General features: G+C 46.8%; 4 pseudogenes, 1 gene segment (V, D, J or C) and 1 further gene, besides 1 other annotated feature; all 6 read right to left on the bottom strand.

Moving 5' to 3' along the window:
- Positions 1 to 26299, bottom strand: part of IGL (immunoglobulin lambda locus) — an 896838-nt gene that overhangs the window by 239654 nt on the left and 630885 nt on the right.
- On the bottom strand, positions 3863 to 4326 carry IGLVVI-25-1 (immunoglobulin lambda variable (VI)-25-1 (pseudogene); annotated as a pseudogene). The gene is given in 2 exon segments: positions 3863 to 4163; positions 4287 to 4326. Coding segments are annotated over 2 exon segments (341 nt in total).
- IGLV3-26 (immunoglobulin lambda variable 3-26 (pseudogene)) lies at positions 9623 to 9922 on the bottom strand (annotated as a pseudogene). Its single transcript is given in 1 exon segment — positions 9623 to 9922. A coding segment is annotated over 1 exon segment (300 nt).
- Positions 14452 to 14934, bottom strand: IGLV3-27 (immunoglobulin lambda variable 3-27). The segment is given in 2 exon segments: positions 14452 to 14746; positions 14889 to 14934. Coding segments are annotated over 2 exon segments (341 nt in total).
- Positions 16216 to 16395: a silencer, noted in NCBI's record as "fragment chr22:23009335-23009514 (GRCh37/hg19 assembly coordinates)". NCBI's record gives its function as "represses an EF-1alpha promoter that drives an FKBP-Casp9 reporter gene in an ReSE screen in HepG2 liver carcinoma cells {active_cell/tissue: HepG2}" and the evidence as "EXISTENCE:reporter gene assay evidence [ECO:0000049][PMID:32094911]".
- IGLV2-28 (immunoglobulin lambda variable 2-28 (pseudogene)) lies at positions 18329 to 18787 on the bottom strand (annotated as a pseudogene). The gene is given in 2 exon segments: positions 18329 to 18624; positions 18742 to 18787. Coding segments are annotated over 2 exon segments (342 nt in total).
- Positions 21683 to 22311, bottom strand: IGLV3-29 (immunoglobulin lambda variable 3-29 (pseudogene); annotated as a pseudogene). The gene is given in 2 exon segments: positions 21683 to 21973; positions 22266 to 22311. Coding segments are annotated over 2 exon segments (337 nt in total).

The following is a 26299-nucleotide window of genomic DNA, read 5'->3' as shown; positions in this document are numbered from 1 at the left end:
GGAGGAGGTAAGTGAGGAAAATAGAAAAGTTGTGAATTTGGGACATTCGATACTTGAAGCACTCCCTGGCAACACTAACATGCACATGTGCACACATGCACATGCACTCACACACAGGCATATGCATTACACACATGCACACACAGTCACACAGCATATGCATTTACACACATGCACACACACATGCAAGTGCACACACACTCACACACACATGCACACACACATAGCATATGCATTTAAACACATGCACACACACAGGCATATACATTACACACATGCACACACACACACAGCATATGCATTTACATACATGCACACACTCACACACAGGCATATGCATTTACACACATGGACACACACCAGCACACAGCATATGCATTTACACACATGTGCACACACCAGCACACAGGCATATGCATTTACACACATGCACACACTCACACACAGCACACACATTTACACACACTCTCTCACACACAGGCATATGCATTTACACATGTGCACACACACAAGGTATATGCATTTACACACATGCACACACAGGCATATGCATTTACACACATGCATACTCACCAGCACACAGGCATATGTATTTGCACACATGCACACACACTCACACGCAGTCATATGCATTTACACGCATGCATACACACACACAGGCATATGCATTTACACACATGCACACACCAACACACAGTATATGCATTTACACACAGGCACACACACTCACACACAGGCATATGGATTTACACACATGCACACACACCAGCACACAGGCATATGCATTTACACACATGCACACACACTCACACACAGTGTATGCATTTACACACATGCACATGCACACACACAGGCATATGCGTTTACACACATGCACACACACTCATACACAGCATATGCATTTACACACATGCACACACACAGGCATATGCATTTACACACATGCACACACTCACACACATCATATGCATTTACACACACACACTCTCACATACAGGCATATGCATTTACACAGGTGCACACACACAAGCACACAGGCATATGCATTTACTCACATGCACACATGGCACTGTTTTGTGTACAGGAGAAAGGGAGCACATCTTCCAGCCTTCAGTCCTGTTCTCTGGGCCTGCAATTGCAGGGACCTGAACCATCCTGAGAAACATCACCAGGATGTGTCCCAGCAGAACTACTTTGTCTTGTCCAGACTCTGTGATGCACGTTACTCCCCTACTTGCCTTCCTACAGCTGGCCTTGCTTGTGACGTCCTGGTGCTGGGTGAGAGGCTCAGTTTTGCAGAAAGAGTCAGGACAATCTGCTCAAGACTGACAATCAGTTTTTGACCTGTGGCCATTACAGGGGGCAGCATGGAGGCCTGACTGGGCAGGCACAGATGGATGGACACTAGGGCTGGGCTGGTGCCACTGAAAGGAAAGGACCCTGGGGACAGAGAGCAGGGGAACCTCCTACTGTTTCCTCCAGGTCTGTCCACTGAGCACAAAGAGGAGAGAATGGGCCACAGCTGCACTGACCTGGGCTCAGGATAACCAGGAACTATCGTTGGAGGAGAGAAGCAGATAAGCTCTCTGCTTATCTGAGGCCCTGGTCATAGAGGGATGGCCAAGGACTCTAGGGCCAGAAAACCATAAATACCCTTCAGATGAGCTCAGCTGTCTTCCCTCCCGCTGACTCTCTGCCCCCTCATGCATGACATTGCAAACCTTGATTCTGCAAACTCCTCCCTTAGCTCTCTAGTAGACTTCACCTTGGAACAGTCTCTGAGACATTGTGAGAGTTGGCAGGAGAATGTCCCAGGACGCTTGTCTCCACTCCTAGGCCTTCATTTTAAATCATTAAAGTCTCTCTTTTCCTAACCCTCTGAAACCCTCTGCACTGCCTTCCCTCCATCCCCATTCCAGGTCCAATTCTCATGAGTGATGTCAGGAATAATTGCTGCCAACTCAGGAGCAGCTGGGGCATGTCAGGTTCTGTGTTATGCACTTTACAAACATGATTAAGTTACATCCCTGCAGCCTCAATAGTGAAGAATTACTGTCAATTCTTGTCTAAGTTTTTTTCTCAGAGGTTCTTAACCTCTCATTAGGATGGTTTTCTGAGAGATTAAATGCCTTGCTTACAGCCACACAGCTGCAGGTAACAGAAGTGGGCTTCGAGGATAAACCTGGCTGCCCCTCGAACCCATGCCCCTGAGGACTGTATTATTCATATGACCCCTTACAGTAAGGAGGTGCCAATATCTGTGACACATAAACTGTGGGGTGGGGGAATTGCACAGAAAGAGAAGCCTTAAGTCTTAGATGTTTCTCTGTCTCCAACGTCACTTCCGGCAGGTGCCAGGCCTCTCCCGGGGCCATTGCTGCTCAGGTACCCTTGATTGCTGCTCTGCCCATGCCTGTGCTGAATCTGCCCATTGCTGCTCTCTCAGACGCAGACCCTCTGCTTTCTTCCACCCAATTAGAGGCCATCCGCAGGGACTACTCTTCCATTATAGTCAACATAATTTAGGTCTCCAGCGTTGTGCAAAGCAATAGCCCATTTCAAGAGGCAGCTCCGTCCTCGATGCTGTTACCTTTATACCACTTCTGTGGACAATATCTTTCATCCTTCCAGGGTAGGGGCTGGACTCTGACCCTGGAGGAAGCATCAGGTGATGCTCACACATGAGCCCTGAGCTCTCTGCCACCAACCAAACCCCAGATTTGTTCATCCAAGAAATGCAAGTCTCTAGGAATCCAGGGTCTCTGTGTTCCTCCCTTGTGCATGGTGAGACTTGGAGACAGCATTGAGGAATTGACAGTAAGTGGTCACAAGGTGTGCAGCTCTGTGTTGGGGGTGGCCTCTTTCTAAGGAACCCTAAGAAACTGCAATATAGAAATGCCCCATCGTTTTGCATAGAGTAGAATGGTACCTTCTGGATGCATGGGCAGCTCTGGGGGGTCCTGTGAAAAGGACATGCTCATCAGGCCCCAAAAGTATGACATTGTCCTGTTCCATGAGCACATTCTGTATTTTCAAAAGTGAATTATCACGCTGTCCTGTAAATATGTGCCATGTGTGGTTAGAACATTGCAGAAGGGGCAATGTAAGGTTCCAAATGAAAATGCAGCAAAGCCTTCTCACTTTGTCTTCAGGCCACAGATGACCTTTCTGAGGAAGGGACTTTTAAACTGACCAAGTAAGAATAATTTGGTGTTAAACAACGAAGGATTGCTTCCTGACAGAGATGAGGGTAGGCAGCCAAGATAAGCTGTGGGTTGGAAGAAGAGGATTTATTAGCAAATGCAAGACCTCTTTGATGGCTGGGATGCCTGGCTCCTCCAGAGCTCAAAAGACCCTGGTTATAGACTGAGCTTGACCCCACATGGGCTTGACTTCAAAGTCATTTGCATCCTGGGGTAACTCATAAGCCAGCCCTCATCAACTGTCCTCCACCTCCTTACCTGGTGAGGAAAGGAGAAAAAGGATATGACAAGTTGGAAATAATGGCCCTGGCCCATTATAAAGTAGATGAAAATAGCCAGAGGCAGGGGTCCCAAGAAGACACCGCTGAATTGTCCCTACTTGGACTCTGTGACAACTAAACATCATCTATACTTGCCTTTCCTGGGCAGGTCCGGAATGTGTCTCAGTACACAGATCACAGGCAGGAACCCAGCCTTTGTTCCCAAGAGGCCTCAGTGAGCCAATTCTCTCAGGTATCCACTTTGACCAGCTGTGGGAGAAAGGAGGAGGCCACATTTCTTCAGCCTTGTGCTTAAGAGATGTTTTATTCTAGGGGAGGGAAGAACAGACCTGGTGTCAGGACACAAGTCAGGAATCTCAGGAGGGTTTTGGTCTTACTTCCTCATCACTTGGGATGTGTGGAACAGCAACAGTGATCAGTGTCACTGCTGGGATCCCAGGGAGTCTCAAAGAAGCTCACTTGTCAGACTTGGAGCCTGAGAATCAATCTTATGTCTCTTAGTTTTAATATTTGACCCCACACTTCAGCTGTGTGGGTCTCTACTCTGTCTCTGGTGGAACCAGGAGACACAATTGTTACCCCCAATGTTGCTGCTGATTCAGCAAAACCGATGATGACCGACTGCCAGGTGTCCATGAGGTAGACGGAGACTGAGTCAGAGCAGTCAGGATCCCGGTCCTGAAGGAAGGGACAAATGTGGAGATGAGCAAGTGTGTGGCCAAGCCTCAGGGTGCTATGGCTTTGATCTTCATCCCTTGCAAATCTTATGCTGAAATTGAATCCCCAGTGTTGGGGGTGGGAATTAATGGGAGCTTTTAGGGTGATAGGAGTGGATCTCTCATGAATAGATTAATGCCCTCACTTGGGGTGAGTGAATTTCCTCTGTTTCCAGAAGAGCTGCTTATTTAAATGAGACTGGTATCTTCCCTTTCTCTCTTGCTTCCTTCCCCTCATTGACCTCAGCACACACTGGCTCGCCTTCACCTTTCACCATGACAGGAAGCAGCCTGAGGTCTTCAACAAGAGCAGATGCCACATTTTGAACTCTGCAGCCATTGGAACTGTCTGCCAAATAAAACTTTTATTTTCTGTATAAATTACCCAGCCTTGGGTACTTCTTTATAGTAACAGGAAAGGATCTAAGACACAAGGGGAGGAGTGAGAAGTGACCTGTGCTTCTAGAAGGTGCCCTCCTTGTGTGAGTCTCACCCGTGGCTTGAGTGAGGTGGGTGAATAAGAGTTCAGCCACTCAAAGTGTGGTCCTGGGAGGACCAGCAGCAGCAGCCTCACCTGGGAGTTGCCGGACACAGAGAATTTGGGGCCACATCCAGAACTGCTGAGGCTGCATCTGCATCTTAACCAGATCCTTAAGGGGCCTTGTGTGTCCACTGGAATTTAAGAATCTCTGGTCTAAGCCACAATGGAAAATCTCACTTCCTCTGCTTTTGACAACAAGCCCTTGTTCCACCAAGTCCTTCTGAGGCCACCTGGGTCTGGAGCTTAACAGCCCTGGACTCATCAAACTCAGCTTGATTCACGTGCTTGACTCTGTCACGACATGCAAACAAAAATTAAAAACGGGCATTTTTATAATTCACATGGGTGGTGTGTTGGGGAGGAGACAATATTTTGATGAGATATCCAGAGAGAAATACATGGCTTATGCCATTTTTCTTGTTCTCACTCAGCTCCAGTGAGTCTGGACTTTCCTTATTTCTCAGACATATTATGTTCTCTTCTGTGTTCCAACTTCCGTGTGTTTTTCTCTTTGAAAGTTTCTTGTGTATATCACTATTCTTCACCCAATACCTGCCTAAATGCCACCTATCCCATCAGATCCCCGTACTCACCACTTGTCAAGGAAGTGGTCTCTGACCACCAGAACATTTGGAAATGCAGAATTGTAATCTTTTAGGTTTTTTTTTTTTTTTTTGCCTGAGTCTCACTCTGTCGCCAGGCTGGAGTACAGTGGCGTGATCTTGGCTCACTGCAACCTCCACCTCCCGGGTTCAAGCAATTCTCCTGCCTCAGCCTCCCGAGTAGCTGGGACTACAGGTGTGTGCCACCGTGCAAAAATACAAGTAATTTTTGTATTTTTGTAGAGATGGGGTTTCACCAGGATGGTCTGGATCTCTTGACCTTGTGATCCGCCTGCCTCGGTCTCCCAAAGTGCTGGGATTACGAGTGTGAGCTACCGTGCCTGGCCTCTTTTAGCATTTAACAGTAAGTGTTCATGTAGTTTGGTGTGGGATAGCCAGAGTCTTTGCATGTAATAACATTTTCTCCAATAGTGGCACCACAAATCTTATCTTTTTATGATGCTCTAGCAAGACTAGAAAAACAACAAATGGTAATGTTTCCTCGCATGAAAACATTTGATGTGACTGTTGAGATGACCATGTGGTTTTGTCTTCTATTTTCTCTACATCCTCACCAGTGTTTGTTATTTTTTTGTCTTCTTGATGATAGCCATCCAACTGGGATGAGATGATATCTCATGGAGGTTTGGATTTGCGTACCCCTGATGATTAGTGATATTGAGCATTTTGTCATATACCTGTTGGCCATTTGTATGTCTTTGACTGTGAAAAGTCTATTCATATCATTTATCCACTTTTTAATTGTATTATTTGTTTTTTATGCTGATGAGTTATTTCAGCTCCTTGTCTTATTTTCTTATGCTGGATCTTAGGCCCTTTTGAGTTGAATAGTTTGCAAATATTTTCTCTCATTCTAGAAGTTGTCTTCACTCTGTTGATCGTTTCCTTTGCTTTTCAGAAGATTTTCAGTTTAATGAAGTCCCATATGTCTAGTTCGTGTTGTTCCCTGTGCTTTTGAAGTCTTAGCTATGGAATTTTTGTCTAGACCAACGTCCTGAAGAACTTCCCCTGTGTTCTCTACGTTCCCTTCTAGTAGTTTTATAGTTTTGGGTCTTATATTTCGGAGTTTTAATAAATTTTGAGTTGATTATTGTATAGGGAGAGAGATAAAAGTCTAGTTTCAAGGTTCTGCCTATGAATATCCAGTTTTTCTCAGCGCCATTTATTGAAAAGTATGTCATTTTCTCAACGTATGTTTTTGGCATTTTTGCTGCAAATCAGTTGGCTGTAAATATATGAATTTATTTTGGGGTATTCTATTCCATTATATTAGTCTCAGTGTCTGATTTTAAGCCAATACCATCGATCTTGTTTTGGTTACTGTAGTTTGTAGTATATTTTGATTCAGATAATGTGACATATTCAGCCTGGGCTTTTTGCTTGGTATTGCTTTGGCTATTCAGGGGATTTTGTGGTTCCATACCAACTATAGAGTTTTTTTCTACTACTGTGAATGTCGTTTGTATTTTGATAGGGATTGCATTGAGTCTGTGGATGGGTTTTGGTAGTAAGTTTTTTCTTTTAATATTTTATAAATATAGCTCCACTGCCTCCTGCTTGCATGACTTCTAAGAAGAAATCTGCTCTTATTAGGGGATGCTTAATGGGTAAATAAAATAGAAAGAATGAATAAGACCTACTATTTGATAGCATGTCAGAGTTACATCAATACTATTTGATAACATGTCAGCAACTTAATTGTACAATTTAAAATACCTGAAATAGTGTAATTGAGTAGTTTGTAACACAAAGGATAAATGCTTGAGGGGATGGAAACCCAACTCTCCATGATGTGACTATTTCACATGGCAATGCCTGTATCAAAATATCTCATGTATCCCACAAACATATACACCTACTCTGTACCCACAGATGTTTAAGAAAATTTTAAAAAGAAAAAGAAATCTGTTCTTTTTATGATGTTGTTCATCTGTACATACCATGTCTTTATGGCTACTTTTAAAAGTATGTCTTTATAATAGGTTTTTAGCAATTTCATTATGGTGAGTGTTGGTGGTGTGTTATTTGTGTGTGTGTGTTTGTGTGTGTGTGTGTGTATGTGACTTGTTAAGCTTTTTGGAGTAGTGGGTTTCTAGCTTTCACCAAATTTGGGAAATTGTGGCCATGATTCCTTTAAATGGCTTTTCTACCTTTCCTCTCCCCCCACCAATGTTATCTCCCTTCATGTCTTTAATTATAACCAGTAAGTCAGCTTGAAGATGTCCTGAAACTCACTGATGCTCTCTTCACTTTTTTTGTGCTTCATCTTGCATAACTTCCATTGCCATATCTTCAAGTTCACTCATCTATTCCTTCACAGCTTCTAATCTGCAATGAGTCTCATCCAGTGTATTTTTTCAATGCAGATATTTAGGGGCCATTTCTAAAAGTTTAACTTGCATCTTGCTTTATGCTTTCCATTTCTCCACTTAACACATTCAATAGATCCTCCATTCTCATGAGGAAGGAGAAAAGAGTTATAAGAATTGCTCCAAGGCTGGCGCGGTGGCTCACGCCCGTAATCTCACCACTTTGAGAGGCCAAGGCGGGTGGATCATGAGGTCAAGAGATCGAGACCATCCTGGCCAATACGGTGAAACCCCGTCTCTACTAAAAATTAAAAAAAAAAAATAGCTGGGTGTGGTGGCACATGCCTGTAGTTCCAGCCACTCAGGAGGCTGAGGCAGGAGAATCGCTTGAACTCGGGTGGCGGAGGTTGCAGTGAGCTGAGATCGCGCCACTGTACTCCAGCCTGGCAACAGAGTGAGACTCCATCAAAAAAAAAAAAAAAAAAAAAAAGAATTGCTCCAAAATTCGTGCCTACAAGGTCTATCATGTGTGCAATTTTTGGCCACTTTGGATTGATTCATTTTTCTCTGTGTTAAAGCATATATTTTCTTTTTTGCTTGCAAGAAATATTGACAGAATGCCAATCATTGTGAATTTTTCTTTGTTGAGTTTATAATCCTTTTGCATTTTCTTCTCTATTTTGGTCTTTTATTTTTGGATTCAGTAAAGTTACTTGGAAACTGTCTTAACTTTTCCCAGTTTGCTTCTACACTTTCTTAGTTGACAGTGGAGTAGCCCTATGTCTGTCCGACATTTTCCCCAATACTGAGCCGAAGCTCTTCTGATGAGTCCACCTCATGCTCTGTAACTCAGGCCTTTCCTCTGTGACTGGAGTGTGTGTGTGTGTGTGTGTGCGCACGCATGCACACTCTTTGGAGTGTTCCCTCAAGGGTCTTTCTCTTTCAGAGGGAGTTTCTTTACACACAAGTGCTCTTCAGTGCATGCATATTTGCAGACTTCAGAGTTCTTTCCTTGTGCAACTCCCTAACTCTCTCCTCTTCAATATTTTTCCCTCTAGACTGGTGTGTTGTTTTTTTTTTTAATTTTTAAGTTCCCTGGAATCCTACTCTGAGAGGGAGGATTCCATGCAATAGGGTTTCAGGATATATTCTCAGGAAAGAAGTGTGGAGTGTGTGACTGGGAATGTTTTACAATTGAGTGTTCAGCTAGAAGGCACTTCAATTTGATATTCAGGGTCTTAAATTAAAGCATGACTTTCAGATTAAGGCATCAGGGAGTCATTGCCCCCGAAACATACTCTGAAATGGGCAATTCTTTGAGCAAAGCTATTCTCTGTACTGCATGGCAGTTTCTGGTGGGGAAGAGCTGTGAGAAGCCAGGGCCTCCCTGCAGCCCTGGGAGGATGGTGGGTGCATAAGTCCTGAAACGGGAATCTGAGGGATGTCACAGTGCACACTGTGAAAGGCTTCCATGTTCAGAACATCAGGATGCACAAAGCTGGGGCTTGAGGGTCTCAGTTAAACACGGGCAGTTCAGAAAAATAATCCAGGGTATTTGGGCCACAGAGTAGAGGCACTGCATTGGGTTCAGTCAACACACAGGAGGAAATTCAGTGACCATGAGCACTCAGGAGCTGTCTCCCTCTTACCGTCCTTCCAGTAAGTCCTTCCAGTAAGATGGCTCAGGTCATCTTGAGCCAAGGTACATCCATTCCAAATAACAGCAGGACAGCCTGGTTCTGCCAGCCCCAAATCCTATCCTGACTCATTCTCTGCAGAGACTACCTGGAGAGCTGGGGGGAAGGGCAGCTTGGAGGACTTCGATGCAGGTGACCCAGGCCAGCCCTGCTCATGGCTGTCTCCACAGTCCTGCTATGGCTGGAGGAAGAGGGTGACACAGACAGTGAAGGTCTTTAGATCTCACTTCCCAATCTGTCTGTGTCATTGTGAGGTGAGTAGCACTGCTGTCCCATGAGTGATGGTAATAGTCAGCTTCATGTTCAACCTGAGCCCCAGTGATGGTCAGGGTGGCTGTGTTCCTGACTTGGAGCCAGAGAATTGGTCTGGGAGCCCTGAGGGCTGGTTATTTTGTCGATGTATGACCTGCACAGGAGCCTAGCCTGGCTTCTGCTGGTGCCAGTTTGTACCATGGCTTCTTAGGTTTTCTCCCTGGCAGGTTACCCTGGCTGACTGTCCCAGGGCCACAGACCCTACTGGCTCCTGAGTCAGCATGGAGGAGGCCACAGAGCCTACAAGAGAGGACAGGAGAGTTAATTATGAGGATGAGGGTCATTCCCAGAGCCCCACACTCTGCATCACTCCCTGTGCTGAGCTGAAGCTCAGGGCCAGTCTGATCTCTGGTCCTTTGGGGGCTGAGCCCTGGGAGGCAGCACAGAGACGGAGGAGGGTGAGCAAGGGAGGGGTCCAGGCCACGGTGGAGATGCCACATAGCTCTGTCTCTGAGCCCATGGCTGGGGAGGGACCTTCAGGCCTCTCTTATCATGGGAAGGAGAGGCTCTTCATGCAAATCTACTTCTTTTATTCTTGTATCCTTGTTGGGTGGGCTCTCTGATGAGCAGTGAATGCAAATCTACTCCTCATTCCCCAGTGTGCCTGTCCTAGCTCCCATCTGAGCCCTGAGCCTTAAGTCTTCAAACTGATAATGTGCTAAGGTCAGAAGAAGGACCAGATGGGTGTCAGGAGTGGAGAGTAAATTTTACCCAATAGAAGGGGCCTGGGAGGAAGCATCTGTGATGCTCTTCGCTCTTGAGCACTACCAGCGGACTTGGTGTCTTTCAGAGTCCTCAAACCAAGGTCCACAGTGCCCCCTCTGCCCACAGGACCAATGTCATCCTCTACATATCACTAGAAAATTCATAATAACCACTTCTGAGACCATAGTGTATGCCAGATACATTGCTGAGTGTTTTACAAGCATGACCTCAAGAAGACTTTCATCATATAAAAAAGGAAGATGAGGAATCCTGTGCTCAAGGCCCGATCTTTACTATGGAATTAATATTGGGCGGTTAATTGTTTTTCCCCAAGTCCCCAGACAGCAGTGAGTGGAGTCAGGATTCCACCCAGGAGATGACCTCAGAGCCTGAACTTCCAGCCCCTCCCTGCCCCACCTCCTGCACCCTGCTCCATCTCCTCCTCCTCCCGCATCCAAGGTCTTTGGGGTCCCTTTTGTTTTCATTTGCTAGTGCTACCTTAATGAGATACCAAAGACCTGCTGGCCTAAAGAGCAGACACTTATTTTCTCACAGTTCTGAAGCTGGGGAGTCAAGATGAAAGTGTTTATAGGTTTGGTTTTCACTGAGGCCTCTCTCCTTGGCTTGCGGGTCGCTACCTCCTTGCTGAGTCCTCACACGGTCTTTCCTCTGCACGCTCATCTCGAGTGTCTCATTTTTGTGTGTGCAAATTTTCTCTTCTCACGAGAACACCAGTCAGATTCGATAAGAACCCACCCTCATGACTTCATTTTCACTGAATCACCTCTTTAAAGATTCTCTCCAAATTCAGTCACACACCGTGCATTAGAGCTTCATTGTATGAACTCTGGGGGACACAATTCAGCCAAGAACTCTCCAACCTATGGACCCAAAAACTCATGTATTTTTCACTTGTAAAGCGCATTCACTCCATCCCAACAACCCAAATCCTGAACTAACTCAGCACCAACTCTAAGACCAAACTCTCATTTAGGTATAATCCAACTCAAGTGTGGGTGTTTCTCCAGGATGATTCCTCCTGAGGGTTTAAAGGATAACAGCTTTAGGGGGTTTCACCTCCTCTCTCCTGTTGTCATCTGGGTCTTCAGAAAAGTCAAAGCTCCCACTTTATTTGCTATGATTGGAAGAGAAGAGTGAGTCAGCATCAGCGACATCTGTGAGTTAGATGTGGGGAAGTCACAACTGTCCACTCTTGAAATAATTTAAATACCCATTAATTGAATTTATTAATCATTAGTCATGGGATATCTTTGCCACTGTTTGAAAAAAAAAAAACAGAGCTGATACAGATAATAGAACAAAAAATATCACAAGTTAAGTTGTTCTAAGGGCAGAAATGTCCCTATTAAGAAAGATAAATCACAGACAGAAATAGTCAAAAGAAAACTCACCTCACATGCATATTAACCTACTATTTCCAATGTTAACATTAAGCATCCACATTTGATATGCAAATAGAGACTCTCCTAATGTTTATACAAAAGTGCATTATGTTTTCTGTCTCATATTGACGTTCCCTTTCGGTTCCCTCCTTGGGTGAGGGTGATCTTTGACTGTGGTGAAGAAGGGTGTTCCATGAGATGTTCTCTTATACCTAAATATATATATAGACATATAGAAGAGGGTAATTTACAGCATAAACATAGTTCCACCAAAAAGGTCCTGTTCTTTTCCTGGCAACTTTCCTTGGGGTCTTTATCGTTTAACATCTCAAACTCTTTTCCTTATCCCATTGTTAAATTCTGAGTTTTAGAATTTTTGTGGATTATAAAAATAATGAATGCATTAAAACTTAAACTATGTTTTTATTTGTCATCCTCAGAACCTCTATGGTCTCTTGTGGTTTTGGCTTCAGTCAAATGCTGATATTAGGACCCTTTTCTCTGAGCCTGCTGCAGTGGATATTCCAGCTTTGGTACAAGCTTCCTTGCCCACTTGCTCCTCCCCCTCTCTCTGATTTTCCACCCTGGATAGTGTATTCCTGATATACTGTCACACTCCCAAAAATCACAGTAAAAGGACGGACACAAAAGTTATGAGTTTATGACACAGGGCTATCACAGATAGACCCAAAATCCATCCAAAAAATAAGAAAAGTGTGTTCTTATCTAGAGAGAAATCTCAGGCCACTATAGGCGGTGAAATACAGTATTACCCACAAAAAGATCTCCACCTAAAATATATGCTGGTGAAATTTTTAAACTTCAAATGACCCTACAAAACAGGGACCATTAAACCACATCCTGTGGCCACCCCTGGCCTGCCACCTGTTTTGTGTGGTCCCAGAGCTGAGAGTGGTTTTTATAGCTTTAAATGGTTACATTGTAACTGGAGTTATAAGTTCCCTCATAATATGGTCAAAGTTGACTCTTGGCCCACAGGGGCTAAAACCCTCCTTACCTGGCCATTTTAGAAAAAAGCTCACTAAATCCTAAAATATAAGAGCCCTGAAATGTTTGAGAAAATGTTCAACCTCAAGCAGAATAGGAGAAATCCAAAATAACACTGTTACAAGACAACAAAATTTTAATCTACCATGTTGGCAAAAACCCAAACTTTCAACAGCATACTCACGTCAAAGATTTATGGCTGGCACTGTAAATTGGTACAACCCCCCCGTGAATAGGAATCTGAGAATAATCAGTGAAAATTACAAACGTACTTCTTTTTGACCTAACAATTCAACTTCTAGAGATTTATTCTATGGTAATCTTCATAGGTGAACTCCAAGGAGTCTGAATAGGGATGTTCATTGCAGAATTATTGTAAGATCAAACTCTTGGTGACAACTCTGGGCTAGTTGGTTAAAATACGTGTGATGGTCTTTGACATGGGCATCAGCACAGGGGCCGTACACTTTCTTAGTTAACACCAGAGATGCCTTTTGTCTAGGGCAATGTTTTCCCCAGTACTGAGGCAAAGCTCTTCTCACTGGTAAATCTCACCCACTTTAACTCGGGCCTTTCTTCATGGAGCGGAGGAACAGGCACTATTCTGATTGTGCATGTGTGTGCACATGGATGTGTGTGTGAGCTCTATGGAGTGTTTCCTCAAATGTCTTTGAATGGTTATTTTCTCTATCACAGAAGGTTTCCTCCCATGCACATGCTCATCGGTGCTCATGAATATCTGCAGACTCCAGAGTGCGCTCCCTGTGCAGCTCTCTCCTCTTTGATCCTCTTTCTTCTAGACAGTATTTGGTTTGTTTGTTAATTTGTGAACTCCCTGCAATCCTACTCTGAGAGGGAGAATTCATTGCAATAGGGTTTCAGGAAATTTTGTCAGAAAGAAAATTGTGAGAGGCATGACTGGGAATGTGTTACACCGGAGCGCTCAGCAAGAGACACTTCGTGGTTATTTTAAATGAAAACATGGCATTAAAATCTAGGGACCAGGCAGGCATTGCACCTGAACCACACTGTGAAGGGGGAACATCACTGGGAGAGCAGTTCTCTGCAGCTCAGTGGCATTTTCCAGTGGGGAACAGCTGTGACAAGTCACGGTCTCCCACACAGCCTTGTTTGGATGCTGGATGCATGAGTCCTGAAAATGGCACCTAGATGGAGACACTGCAATGGGCACTGGCCATGATTCTTCAGATCAGGATACCATGAGAGTGGGGGCTGGAGCATCTCAATAATACACGGGGAACTCAGAGGAATAACCCAGGGCATTTGGGCCACAGAGTAGTGGCACTGCCCTAGGTTCAGTCACCACACAAGGAAATACTGGGACCATCACCACTCAATAGATGTCTCCCACTGACTGTACTTCCATTCAAGTCATTTTTCCCCAAGTCACACTCCAGCCCAGAAAACACCAGGACCTACTGGACCTGCCAACCCCGAATTTATTATTGATCCACCTTCTGTAGGGCCTCCGTAGAGATCTGGAAGGAAGGAGGCCTCAGAGTCTCTGATCTGGGTGTACTGGGCCAGACCTGTTCGTGGCTTTGTCCACAGTCCTCCTGGGGCTGGAGGAAGAAGGTGACACAGATGGCAAGGGGTTTGTGTCTCATTTCTCCATCTGCCTGTGTCACTGTGAGATTGTTGTCAGCCGCAGAGTAACAGTAATAGTCAGCCTCATCCTCAACCTGGGCCCCGCTGATGGTCAAGGTGACTGTGGTCCCTGAGCTGGAGCCGGAGAATCGCTCAGGGATCCCTGAGGGCCGCTCACTGTCTTTATAAATCACCAGCACAGGGGCCTGGCCTGGCTTCTGCTGGAACCACCGAGCATATTTTTTTGCCAGTACATCTCCTGAGCAGGTGATCCTGGCTGTCTGTCCCGGAGACACTGACACTGAGGATGGCTGTGTCAGCTCATAGGAGGCCACAGAGACTGCAAGAAAAGACAGGAGAGGGGGCTTGAGGACAAAGGACGCATTGCCAGGAATCCCCCCCAGAGGCAGTGGCAGGGCTTTGCTCAGGATTCAGGTCAGGCTCAACTTGGGGTCTGTGGAGACTGAGCCTAGGGGCAGCACCTGTGCAGAGAATGAGGAGGGGGAGCAGGAGAGGGATCCAGGCCATGGTGAGACATTCAGAGCTCTGCCTCCTGAGCCTACAGCACAGCTGGGCTCCCCAGGCCTCTCTTATTCCCTCTCCAGCTTTTGGGGGCAGTCAGTGTTTGGCGTTTATGCAAATTTACATCCTCTGCGACTCCTCCTGGAGAGATGTCACTCAAACCAGCTGTGAGGGCAGCACAGGCAACAGGAGGAAGAAGCAGGGTCTCAGATTAGAAAATCAGCTGCAGCCTTCAAGCCCTGTGATCACAGTCACCTTTCTGGGAATTAATCTCATGACCACTGTCCCAAACCTCGCTGACCTGGGGTCTGTCCTGGGCCAGGCTCAGCAGAGCTGTGGACCTTCCAGGAGGTTGGCCATGGGCTGAGCTGGGCTCTGCGGAGAGATCTTGCTGACACCTGACTCAGCAGCAGGTGGCCCAGGGACCCATGATCTTCCTCCCCCTGGTCCCTCAGACTCAGTCCCCTCTTGTTCATTTCATCTAAATGCTGTGCTGTGTCATTGGGACACTTGCTGATTATTCAGTGGGAATAGTTGGGTCATTTAAGCAACCACACACCCCTGTGGAGTCAACAGGGCCTCTGGTCTCATTTCAGCCATGGTGCTGCTCCTGCTACATCACCCCTCATTGCCACAAGAGATTAGCAATTGGCACCCTCAGCTCGTCTGTTATTTATGTATGTTTTTCTCATCAATGTTTTATGTAAACTTGCAAAAAGCAGGAGAAAACCACACTGGACTGAAAATCTAACTTCAGGCCCCATGGTCTCTGAAGGGGTCCCAGGGTCATGGTCTCTGCACAGCATGTGAGCTCCAGAGGGTGGGTGGTCCCTGGTTGCCCCAGCCAGGTTCCTGGTCACTCCAGTCAGATCCCTGGTCAGTGTCCTGTCACTGAGTGTGGACAGCCCCATGGTCAGAGCTGAGGCAGGTGAGAAGCCCTGTCCCTCTGAAGAGTGTCTCCTTAAGGATGCTGGGGATGCCCCATGAAGGGATCAGGATCCCAAATGCTTCACCCCACCCACCCGAGACTCCCCTGAGCACAGGAGTTTCCCCCTGAGTCAGAGTCCGCCTGGAGCTGGAAGGTGAGGCAGAAGGAAGTGAGGTATGGTGTATCTGGAAGTGCCCAGGACAGAGGGCTCAGCTCCCCAGGTTGCTGCTGGACTGAGAGGGACAAGGCCCTGAGAGTGGCAGGAGGCTCAGACAGCCATCCTGGGTGAAGAACCCGGGCCCTGGGAGCCCCGTCACCTCACGCTGTGCCCCCTCCTAGAGCACCTCAACCTTGGGATGTCTCCAAAGAAATCCCCTTCCTGAGTAAGCTGCCCCAGTTGACACCTGGTCCCAGCCTCCTCCAGCTGCATTTCCCAGGTGAGGCCTTCACTGTGCCGGGCTTCTGTCAGTGTCCTGGGGTGACACTGTATGAGTCTGACCCTCAGAGAATGGTCACTGCAGCCTGAGGGGATAGGATGAACTGCACTCACTTTCAGTCTGAAGACTGATTCTTGGACACCTGTTGAACGCCAGGCTGGCCTTCTCTTTGCCCCAGCTGGGCAGCCCCAGCCTTAATCCTGACTGCTCCTGGCTGCAGCTCTGCTGCCCCCAGCTGGTGGAGGAGACTCAGCCCAGGAGCTTTTTTCTTCCACGTGCCTCCACAGCACCTGTCACCTCAGAAGTTGAGGACCAGACAGTCCAGCCCCATTCTGTGCAGGGTGACCCAATCTGCCCTGCCCAGCCCAGCACAGAGAGTTCGCACACGCAGGGTAGGAAGTTGGGGCTATAGAAGTGTCTCAGGGTTGAAATGCCCTCCTCTAGTGGTTTTGTTCAGTCCGGACTAATTAGAGTGAGTCAACTGAAGCTCTTCTGCAAAGCTTTCAAAGTCCAGAGAGATGCATGTGCCATCCTACAGGGACCCAGGCTTTCTATGTACTTAGGCATCAAACTGGTGCACCTCCCACCCAATAAGAGCAGCTGTGATTCACTGTGATTTCCTGATGTTCCAGGCACTGCAGCTTAGTTGTGAGCTAACATCACCATCATCGGCACCATGAAAACATGAAATTATGTTTATCTTTATTTTATTCAACACCTCTCAGAGTTTGTACGGAGAGGATTTCTACACTAGCCTAGTCTGCCTTCCTGATGAAGCTGGGAATCTCCTGCTTATTCTCAGCTAGGGACCGCTGTTCCCACCATACAGAAAGCAAGCTCTTTTGAGCCCCTGTCTTGGAATCCCTGCAGAGAAAAGACAAGAAGTTCCACGTCTGAAACCCACTGAAGCCCATTAAATGACATCCCCTCAGCAGGCTTTAATTTACATGACTTTCATTGTTTTTCTGTCTTTTAATTTTGAATGAAGAAAAGAGCTTCCTCAGTTCAGTATAAGCCTCCTCACTTCACAGCAGGTAACACTGAGGCCAAAAGAGACTAAGTGGCTCAGGAGAACAGAGAGCAGTGGGGGCAAGTCCAGGAGCTGATCCAGGTGTCCTGAGTTCTGAACCTGGGCCCTTTCTGGTGGAGATTAACCAGGGTGGGGAAGGAGGGGGCATGAGGGTCAGGCAGGCAGCAGGGCTGTGTCCTGTGGACACACTGCCATCCCCCATCATGGCCTGCCCATCCTGAGAAGCCCATTTCAGCCTGCAGAAAGTGGGGGCTGTACCACAGGCTAGAGCTGGAGAATCTGTGGGGACTGGGGCCTGCTTTGGATGCAGGGCCTGGCCTGGCTCCTGCTGGTTCTCTCTGCACTGTTGCCTGCTCCACTGTCTCCTGAGCAGGTGGGGGACAGGTGTCTTATGGCTAACAGGTGTCTCATGACCCCACACCTTAGGTTAAAGAGATGTTGGGGCTCATTCTCAGGATCCCATCTCCTGAAGCATCACCTGGGCTGAGCTCAGGGTCAGGAATAGGCTTAGGGTCCTGTGGGGGCTTAGCCTGGGGCAGTGTCTGTGGAAAGAGTGAGGAGAGGTAGCAGGTGATGGACCAAGGCCGGGGAGAAACATCCAGGAGCTTTGTCTCTGGAACCCATAGCTGAGCCTGGCTCCCCTCATATTCCCAAAAGTTCCCACGAAAATGCTCCCTTCATCGCGCTGGACTGCAGAGAACTTGGCAGGCTTCAGTGTAGGCTTCGTGGATTTGGTTCATATGGAATTATTCTTCTTCTCATATCTCACATGGAAGTGACTGTCACTGCTTATTTGAACAATCTTGAAGGAAAGACAGGAATCCCAACAGCCCTGGTGTCAGGACACAAGTCAGGAATCTCAGGAGGGTTTTGGTCTTACTTCCTCATCACTTGGGATGTGTGGGACAGCAATAGTGATCAGTGTCACTGCTGGGATCCCAGGGAGTCTCAAAGAAGCTCACTGGCCAGACTTGGAGCCTGAGAATCAATCTTATGTCCACTGTGGAAAATGTTGCTGCTTGTATATGAACTGCAGTAATAATCAGCCTCGTCCTCAGCCTGGAGCCCAGAGATGGTCATGGAGGCCATGTTGCCAGAGCTGGGAGCCAGAGAAGTGATCAGAGACTCCAGAGAGCCTATAACTGACTTCATAAATCATGTGCCTGGGTGCTGCTGGCACCAGGAGACATAGTTATAATGCCCAACGTCACTGCTGGTTCCAGTGCAGGAGATGGTGACCGACTGTCCAGGAGACCCGGGTACTGAGTGAGGCTGAGTCAGGGCAGACTGAGCCCGAGAGCCCGGAAAAAGGAAAAAACACACTCTAGTGAGTCAGTGCTGGGCCCAGGTGAGCCTGAGGAGCAGGAGACTAAGAATCAGCCCAGAGGTCCCTGAGGCCCCTTTCCTGGAGGCATCACCTGTGCCCTGAGTGAGGAGGGTGAGGAGGAGCAGAGCCCAGGCCATGGTGGAGACGTCCCGAGAGCGCTGCCTCCTGAGACTCAAGCACTGGGTATGCCCCCAGCCCTGTCTTATCCGCTCTGCCTCAGAGGAGGGCGGGGCATCCATGAAAATCTGTGTCCTGGCTCCTCTCCTCATCCCACTCTCACCTGGGCCTGGGCTCAGAGACTTCTTCCCTGGACAGTGGGGCTCAGCTGAGGAGATTAAAGTCCTTGTTTGTCTATTCTGATGGTAGGAACTTGATCTCTTTGTACCAGGAGAGAAAGATCTGCTGAAGTCCCTCACCTGAGTGAGCTCCTGGCCCTCAGTGTCTCTGCTGTGTGGTGCCTGTGTCTCTGTGACCCTCCAGGCCTGGGCCACCCCACAGATACCACTGCCTGGCACCTACCTTTAGGCTCGCTCTACTGTCAGGAAATGAGGCTGCTCACCCCGTGGAAACCCCTGCTGTGTGTGGTTGATCCTTGGTCTCCCCAGCTGCAGCCTTGTCCCATTCCCACCCCCACCCTTGGTGCTGAGGCATCTGCAGCATCGAATCCCTGGAGCACATCAGCCACCCCAGGCGATGCACCCACATCCACACAGGGCACATGTTGTGGGGAGCCCTGTGGAGGGAACACAGAGCACTGACCGGAGCCACTCTGCACACAGGTGATCCATGGAGACATGGCCAGGGGGAAGGGAAAGTTTGCTAACAGGCATTTCTGTGTGCACCAGAGTGATATTTATTGTGAATGACTTATTGAAAGATTTAAGTCCATTTTACTTTGATTTATTTGTTGAGTCACAGTGGTACATACTTCCTTCTTTCTTGATTTTCCCCATCTCAGCACATCCATGGGGCACCATAAAGCTGATCTCTCTCAACCCTGCAACACTGAAGACACATAGACATTCTATAAGTTTGTTTTTGTTTTTTTTCTCAAAAAGCTTTTATCTTTTTTACCTTTTCCCATTGCCTATTACAAAACTCTTTTAATGTTCCATATTAAAATAAATATTAATGGATTTGGGTTCCATTTAAATATTATAACATACACTGTCCTGTCTTCCCACCCAGATTCATCTCTGAAACCACAACAAGTGCGTGGAGCAGCTATTTGAGCACCAGGAAAGGAAATTGTACGCAGTGGTTTGGGATGGCCCCAGCAGATGAAATACAACAGTCAGTGTGAGACTCCTATTTTTTCTCGGTGTCCCCTGGCAGGATTCCAGACAGCCCCAAATCTGAAGGGGCACAAACTTGAAAACAAAAAGAAGTCCAGAAATCCCTCTTGTTCAGGATTGAGGATAGGAAAGGAAACTTCTTCGGCTCAAAGTGAAGGCTCAGTCCCCTACTCCACACCCCTGTTCTCATCTCTCTTGCACCAGTGCCTCTCCCTGGGTTCACACTGATATCCTATGGATGGAGATGATATTTCCTGCACCAGGTCACTCCACAGCCCCTGTTAACCTGAAGAGGTGCAGACCAGCACTGTTCAATCACAGTATGATGAGCCTAATGGGAATCCCACTAGGCTAGTCTAGTCACCACATTAGACATATAAAGAGAAGAAGGTAAATGACTTCAAATAATATATTTTATTTACCTAGCATATCAAAAATAGTGCCATTTTCATATGTAATCTAAGTATGATTGTCATGCAATATTTTAGATACTTTTTCACAGCTATTATTACTATTTTTTGAAGAATCTTTATGTGGAGATTATGTGGCTGATGGAGATGTGGATGGGTTTCCTGTTCACAGGATGAGATGTAGTGGCTTTTTAAGTGACAACTTTGATAGGCTGAAGAAGGGGTGAAAACAATGATTTTTTTGCACAGGATATACAGATTGGAGGTGGGCAGTGTCCATCCTGCAGCTCACCCTCTGGGTGCATCTGTGGTCCCTGCATGGGGCGAGGCTGCTCCTGCTGCCCCTGGATTCCTGCAGGAGGATCTGACTCCAACTCTCCCTCAGAACCCAGAGCATCTGGCATGTCAGTCTCCCTTTTCATTTCACACAAATGAAAAAAAAAACCACTCAGGTCTCGCTGGGCATTTGCAGACTCGCAGTGGTAATTTAAGAGTAAACTGATGCTTTCTAGTGTACAGTGGCCTCTTCAGCTCCCTCATGGCCCGTGTTGGGGATGGCTGGTGATCTTAGTTTGGGTTCCCTGGAAACAGACTCTGAGATGGAGAATATCATACACAGATGATTAAGAAAGTGATGGAGGCAACACCAGGCAGAAGGAGGCCCTGACACATATTGAGGCTTCAGTCAGCCCTACAAGGAGCTATGGATCTTGGAGGATTTTCAGGTCCTGTTATACTGAGGAAGAGTCTTGAGACCTTGGCCACAGGCAGTCATGAAACCAAACCTCCCTGAGAAGAGACATAAACCTGGGGGAGGCAGATTTCTGCACCGAACAGCTCTGAGCTGCCAGAAGCTCCCAGGAGTGCTGTGTGGGTGAGCTCATAAGAGGGGATCTGGGAGGATCCCACAGTGTCCACTCCACTAGTTTTTCTGTAGAGAATGACAGGAGCCTCAGCTGGGCAGTTCTGGGGACTGATTCAGGACATTTCGGCCAAGGACTGGCCTATCACCACCTATGGAAATCCAGAGATAACTGAGGATATTGACCTTGGTCTGCTTGGAAGATCTAATTTCCCTGAATCACAGTGGAGTCCACAAAACCCCAATACATCCTGGTCACCTCAGCCCTAAATCCATTCTGGATGCCCCCTCTGCACAGCCTGCCTGGAGGGCTGAAGGAAGTAAAGACTGGGGGTCTCAGATCCAGGTGAACTGGGTCATGCATGCTCATGGCTTTGTCCACAGTGTTGCCGGGCTGGAGGACGACAGCAGCACAGATGGGGAAGGGGTCTGTGTCTTACTTCCTTGTCTGCCTCTGTCACTGTGTGCAGTGCCACTGCCCCACACCTGAGAGGAAAGCCTCGTCCCCAGCCTGGGCTCCACTGATGGTCAGGGTGACCATGTTCCCCGAGTTGGAGCTGGAGAATCACTTAGAGATCCCTGAAGGCCATCTGCTATCCCCATAGATGACCTGCACAAGGGCCTGGCCTGGTTTCTGCTGGTACCATTAAGCAGGTTTAATTCCAATATTATTTCCCCTACAGGTGATCCTGGGTGTCTGTCCTGGGGCCACTGACACTGAGGGTGGCTGTGTCAGCACATATGAGGCCACAGAGCCTGCAAGGAGAGAAAAGAGGAGCGAAAAGGCCTGAAACTCTGGGGATTAACCAAAGAATATCTTGCCACTTGCCTGAACTGACCTGAGCCCCAGGAATAAAAGTGCCCTTAGGGCACCAAGAGAACAGGAGCACAGTGTGGGGGGATTTCTGCCCCACCAGCCCCCTGCCCTGCGGCAGGTTCATGAGCATCCTGCCCACCACAGGTAGGGCCCTACTGAGCTCAGTGTTAGGGCCAGGCTGGACCCAGAGGCCTGGGGCTGGGCAAGTGAGTGAGACCCTGGGGGCAGCACCTGTGCAGTGAGGGAGGAGGCCGAGGAGGAAAGGGGTCCAGGCCATGGCTGAGGCACCCCCGATGCTGCTTCCCAAGACCCAGGCTGAGCAGGTTCCTCCCAGGCCTCTCTTATCCCCTTGCTGGATAAAGCGGCCATGATGCAAATCAGCAGAGTCAGGGGCTGCTGCTGGAGTAGCTCTGTGGTTTTTAGAGAAGGGCTCAGCCCCAAAGGGCCCAGGAAGGAGAGGAGTGGTCCCAGCAGACCCACTCTCAGCACACGGGTTTCTTCTTCCTCTCCTGGTTCTATTCTGGGCCGACATCTTCACCCCAAATTGTGTCTCAAACTGGCTTTACTCCTGGGCTGTCCTGGCCCTATAGAGCTCCGAGGTAAGTCTGTCTGCGTTTTTGGGCTCCATTCTACAGGTGCCAAAACCAGGCTTTGAGAAGTTCTGGGTCTTGCTCTTGAGCACAGCTCCTGAGCTGCAGAACTTGAATAAAATTTCTCCCTTGCTAAGTGAACATGGAGGTTTTTAATATCCATGAAGCTTGTATAAGTTTTTGCCCTTGGTGGAGCTTCAGGGGAAGGCCCTAGGAGCTGTGCCTCAGTGTCCCCACTATGCGTTTAGGGCCAGGTACAAATCTGCTGCTCTGAAAGTGTTTGACAGATCCAGAGTTTTAGCATAATTGGGTGGGCTGGGATGCAATGTAGTATAAGACTTGAACTTGTTGCTGTGAAATAAGCAAATTCTAAAAGAGCCAGATGTAAGAGACATGGGGCAAAAGAGTTTGTACATCAATGTTAACGATGATACTCTAGAAAAAGAAGGACATTTTTCCCCCCAGTGTTAGGTCATGGTCACTGACCCTCCCTGCATGTCAGCATCTCCCTGACATGCAGGTCCAGCCCAGCTCCAGGCGGCTTTGCCATGTGACTCTCTGTTGACCACTGCTGGTTGCTCTTCACTGACTGCTGGAGGCTCAGACACCACCTTGGTCTAGGTGTAGATTCAGAAATTACTCCTCAGGTCTAGGATTTCTTGATCCCTGAACTGCTGGCCCAAAGGGAGGAATTATTCTTCTCTGTGTGGCCTGTCTGCCTTACGACCAAGCAGGAGGTGCTCAGTTCCCAAGAAAATGCAAACATGCTTCACCAGGGGCGGAATATGCAGGAGCCACCTGAGGCATCTCTGCACATTTCATTCAGAAATGTCTTGACATTTTCAGTGTACAAGAAGTTCATCTTCTTGGATAAATTTATTTGTATTCTTTTTGGTGGTCTTGTAAATAGAGTTACTTTTAAAACTTCTTTTTCAGATGTTCATTGCTGGTGCATATAAAATATGAATGAGTTGCTGGGCATGGTGGCTCTGCCTGTAATCCCAGCACTTTGGGAGGCCGAGGCAGGTGGATCATGACGTCAGGAGATTGAGACCATCCTGGCTAACACGGTGAAACCCCGTCTCTACTAAAAAATACAAAAAATTAGCTGGGCTTGGTGGCAGGCGCCTGTAGTTCCAGCTATTCGGGAGGCTGAGGCAGGAGAATGGTGTGAACCCGGGAGGCGGAGCTTGAGGTGAGCCGAAATTGAGCCACTGCACTCCAGCCTGGGCAACAGAGCAAGATTCCATCCCCCCCCAAAAAAAAATATGAATGAGTTTTGCATGGTGATCTTGCATCTTGCAACTTTGCTGAACTCACTTAAATAAGGTTAGGCATCCGGAGATGTCAGAGGGATAGCTTTCGGTCTTCCATTATTGAGTATGAAGTTTGTTGTGGGATTTTTACAAACGCCTTTTATCACACAGAGGTTGTTTCCTTCTACTTCTAGTTTTCTGGGTGCTTTTTTTTTTTCATTTAGAGAAGGTGTTGGATTTTGTTGTTCTATGTTATTTGGAATATGTATTTTCTCTCTTGAGCTATTAATGTTGTATATTCCATTGATTCATTTTCTTATATTGAACCCTCCTTACATTCCTGATATTAATCTCACTTAGTTATATGACATAATCTTTTGAATATGCTGTTGGATTCATGTTGCTGGCACACATTTTGAGGATGTTTGCACCTATATTCACGAGGTATATTGGTCTTTAGTTGTCACATCTTGTAGGGTCTTTAACTGACTTCGGTCAGGGTCATGTTGGGCTCGTTAGGAATAGTTTCTTCCTCTTCTAGTTTTTCAGAGTTTGATAAGAATTGATGCTAATTCTTTAAATGGCTGATATAAAAAACATGGAGGCCATCTGGTCCTGGACTTTCTTTGGCTGGAAGGTTTTAATTATGGATTCAGTCTCTCTGCTTGTGATAGGTTTCCAAAGAGAAGTTACTAACCAAAAATACCATAATGCTGCCTTTTATACTAACCTATGTTGTTGCCTTTAACAGAATTCATTATTTCACAGTGTGACCTCTAATTTCCATCTACTGTCCTTTCATTTTAAAATGCAGGACTCACTTTACCATTGCTTGCCACACATAAACATGTTTCCACTCTGCATGATGAACATTTTTCTGCTGCACACAATGAACACTTTCCTATCTGTGGAATTTTTGCAAAATTTTTCATAAGCCCAGGGTTTGATGGAATCTTCGTCGATAAATGCCAGATCGATCAGAGAGAAGTAAAAATCAAATATAAGGGTTGGAATCTTGAGGATTCTGTTAGTAAACATAATTAAATAACTACTGTAGGTATTTTGGGCAATTGGTGAAATGGGATTATGGAGTGGACAGAAAATTATTGTTAATTTTTTAAGATGGAGTAGAGAGAGGAAGCGAGAATGCTCCCTGGATTGGACTCAACGTACCCCATTGTTGCATCCAGGGAGGGGATATACAGGGTTTCATTACTCAATTCTAATGCTTTTTTGAGTAGAATTATTTCCAAATTAAACTTGCTACTATAGTTTGAATGTGTCCTCTCCAAAATTCAGATGTTGCCAGTGTGGTAGTGTTAAAAGAGATGGCCTTTAAGAGGCAATTAGGGCATGACAGCTCCTCACTCTTGAGAGGATTAAGGCCCTTAGGAAAGAGGCTTCATGCAGCCTTTAGCTTTCTCCAGCCCTTCTGCCTTTGCCACATGAGAATGCAGTATAAAAGCCCTCACCAGGATCTTGGACTGCCCAGCCTCCACAACTGTGAGAAATAACTGTCTGTTCTTTGTAAATCACTCAACCTCAAGTATTCTGTTGTAGCAGCACAAATGAGCTAAGACACTGTACTTTATTTTCAGAATGTAAATTTTTTATGGTAACAAAATATACATAACGTATGCCATTTTAATGATAGTAATGGTAAGTTTTATGGGTCAAATGGACTAGGCCATGAGGTGCCCAGATTGAACACTATTTCTGAGTGTGTCTATGAGGGTGTTTCCAGATGAGATTCATGTTTGAATGCCTGGACTAAGTTAGTACTTTGCCCTCCTCTGTGTGGTTGGCATCATCAAATCTACTGAAGGCGTGGATACAACAAAAGGCACCAGCAGGGAGAATTCCTCCTTTGTGTGTGACTGCATGAGTGGGACCTTGATCCTCTCCTTCCCTTGGACTGAGTCTTAGACCAGTGGCTCCCCTGGTTCTCAAGCCTTGGGGCTTGGACTAATCCATAAAACCGGCCCTACTGGGTCTTCAGCTTACAATGGACAGATCAGGGGACTTCTCAGTCTCCATAAAAATGACAGCTGATTTTTTGTAACAAATGGCACATAAGAGAGGCTAACAACTTATTGGTAGAATAAAGGAATAAAAGCCAAGATAATCTGTAAGAATGCTTTTGTTTGTTTGTTTTGAGACGGAGTCTTGCTCTGTTACCCAGGCAGGAGTGCAGTGGCATGATCTCGGTTCACTGCAACCTTCGCCTCCCAGGTTCAAGTGATTCTCCTGTTTCAGCCTCCCGAGTAGCTGGGATTACAAGCACACGCCACCATGCCCTGCTAATTTTTGTATTTTTAGTAGAGATGGGGTTTCACCATATTGATCAGGCTGGTCTCAAACTCCTGACTTCAGGTAATTCACCCTCCTCAGCCTCCCAAAGTGCTGGTATTACAGGTAT

The sequence above is a fragment of the Homo sapiens genome, chromosome 22 (genome assembly GCF_000001405.40).
Source record: "Homo sapiens chromosome 22, GRCh38.p14 Primary Assembly".
Taxonomy (NCBI): Eukaryota; Metazoa; Chordata; class Mammalia; order Primates; family Hominidae; genus Homo; species Homo sapiens.
This window is presented reverse-complemented; position numbering and strand designations above follow the sequence as displayed.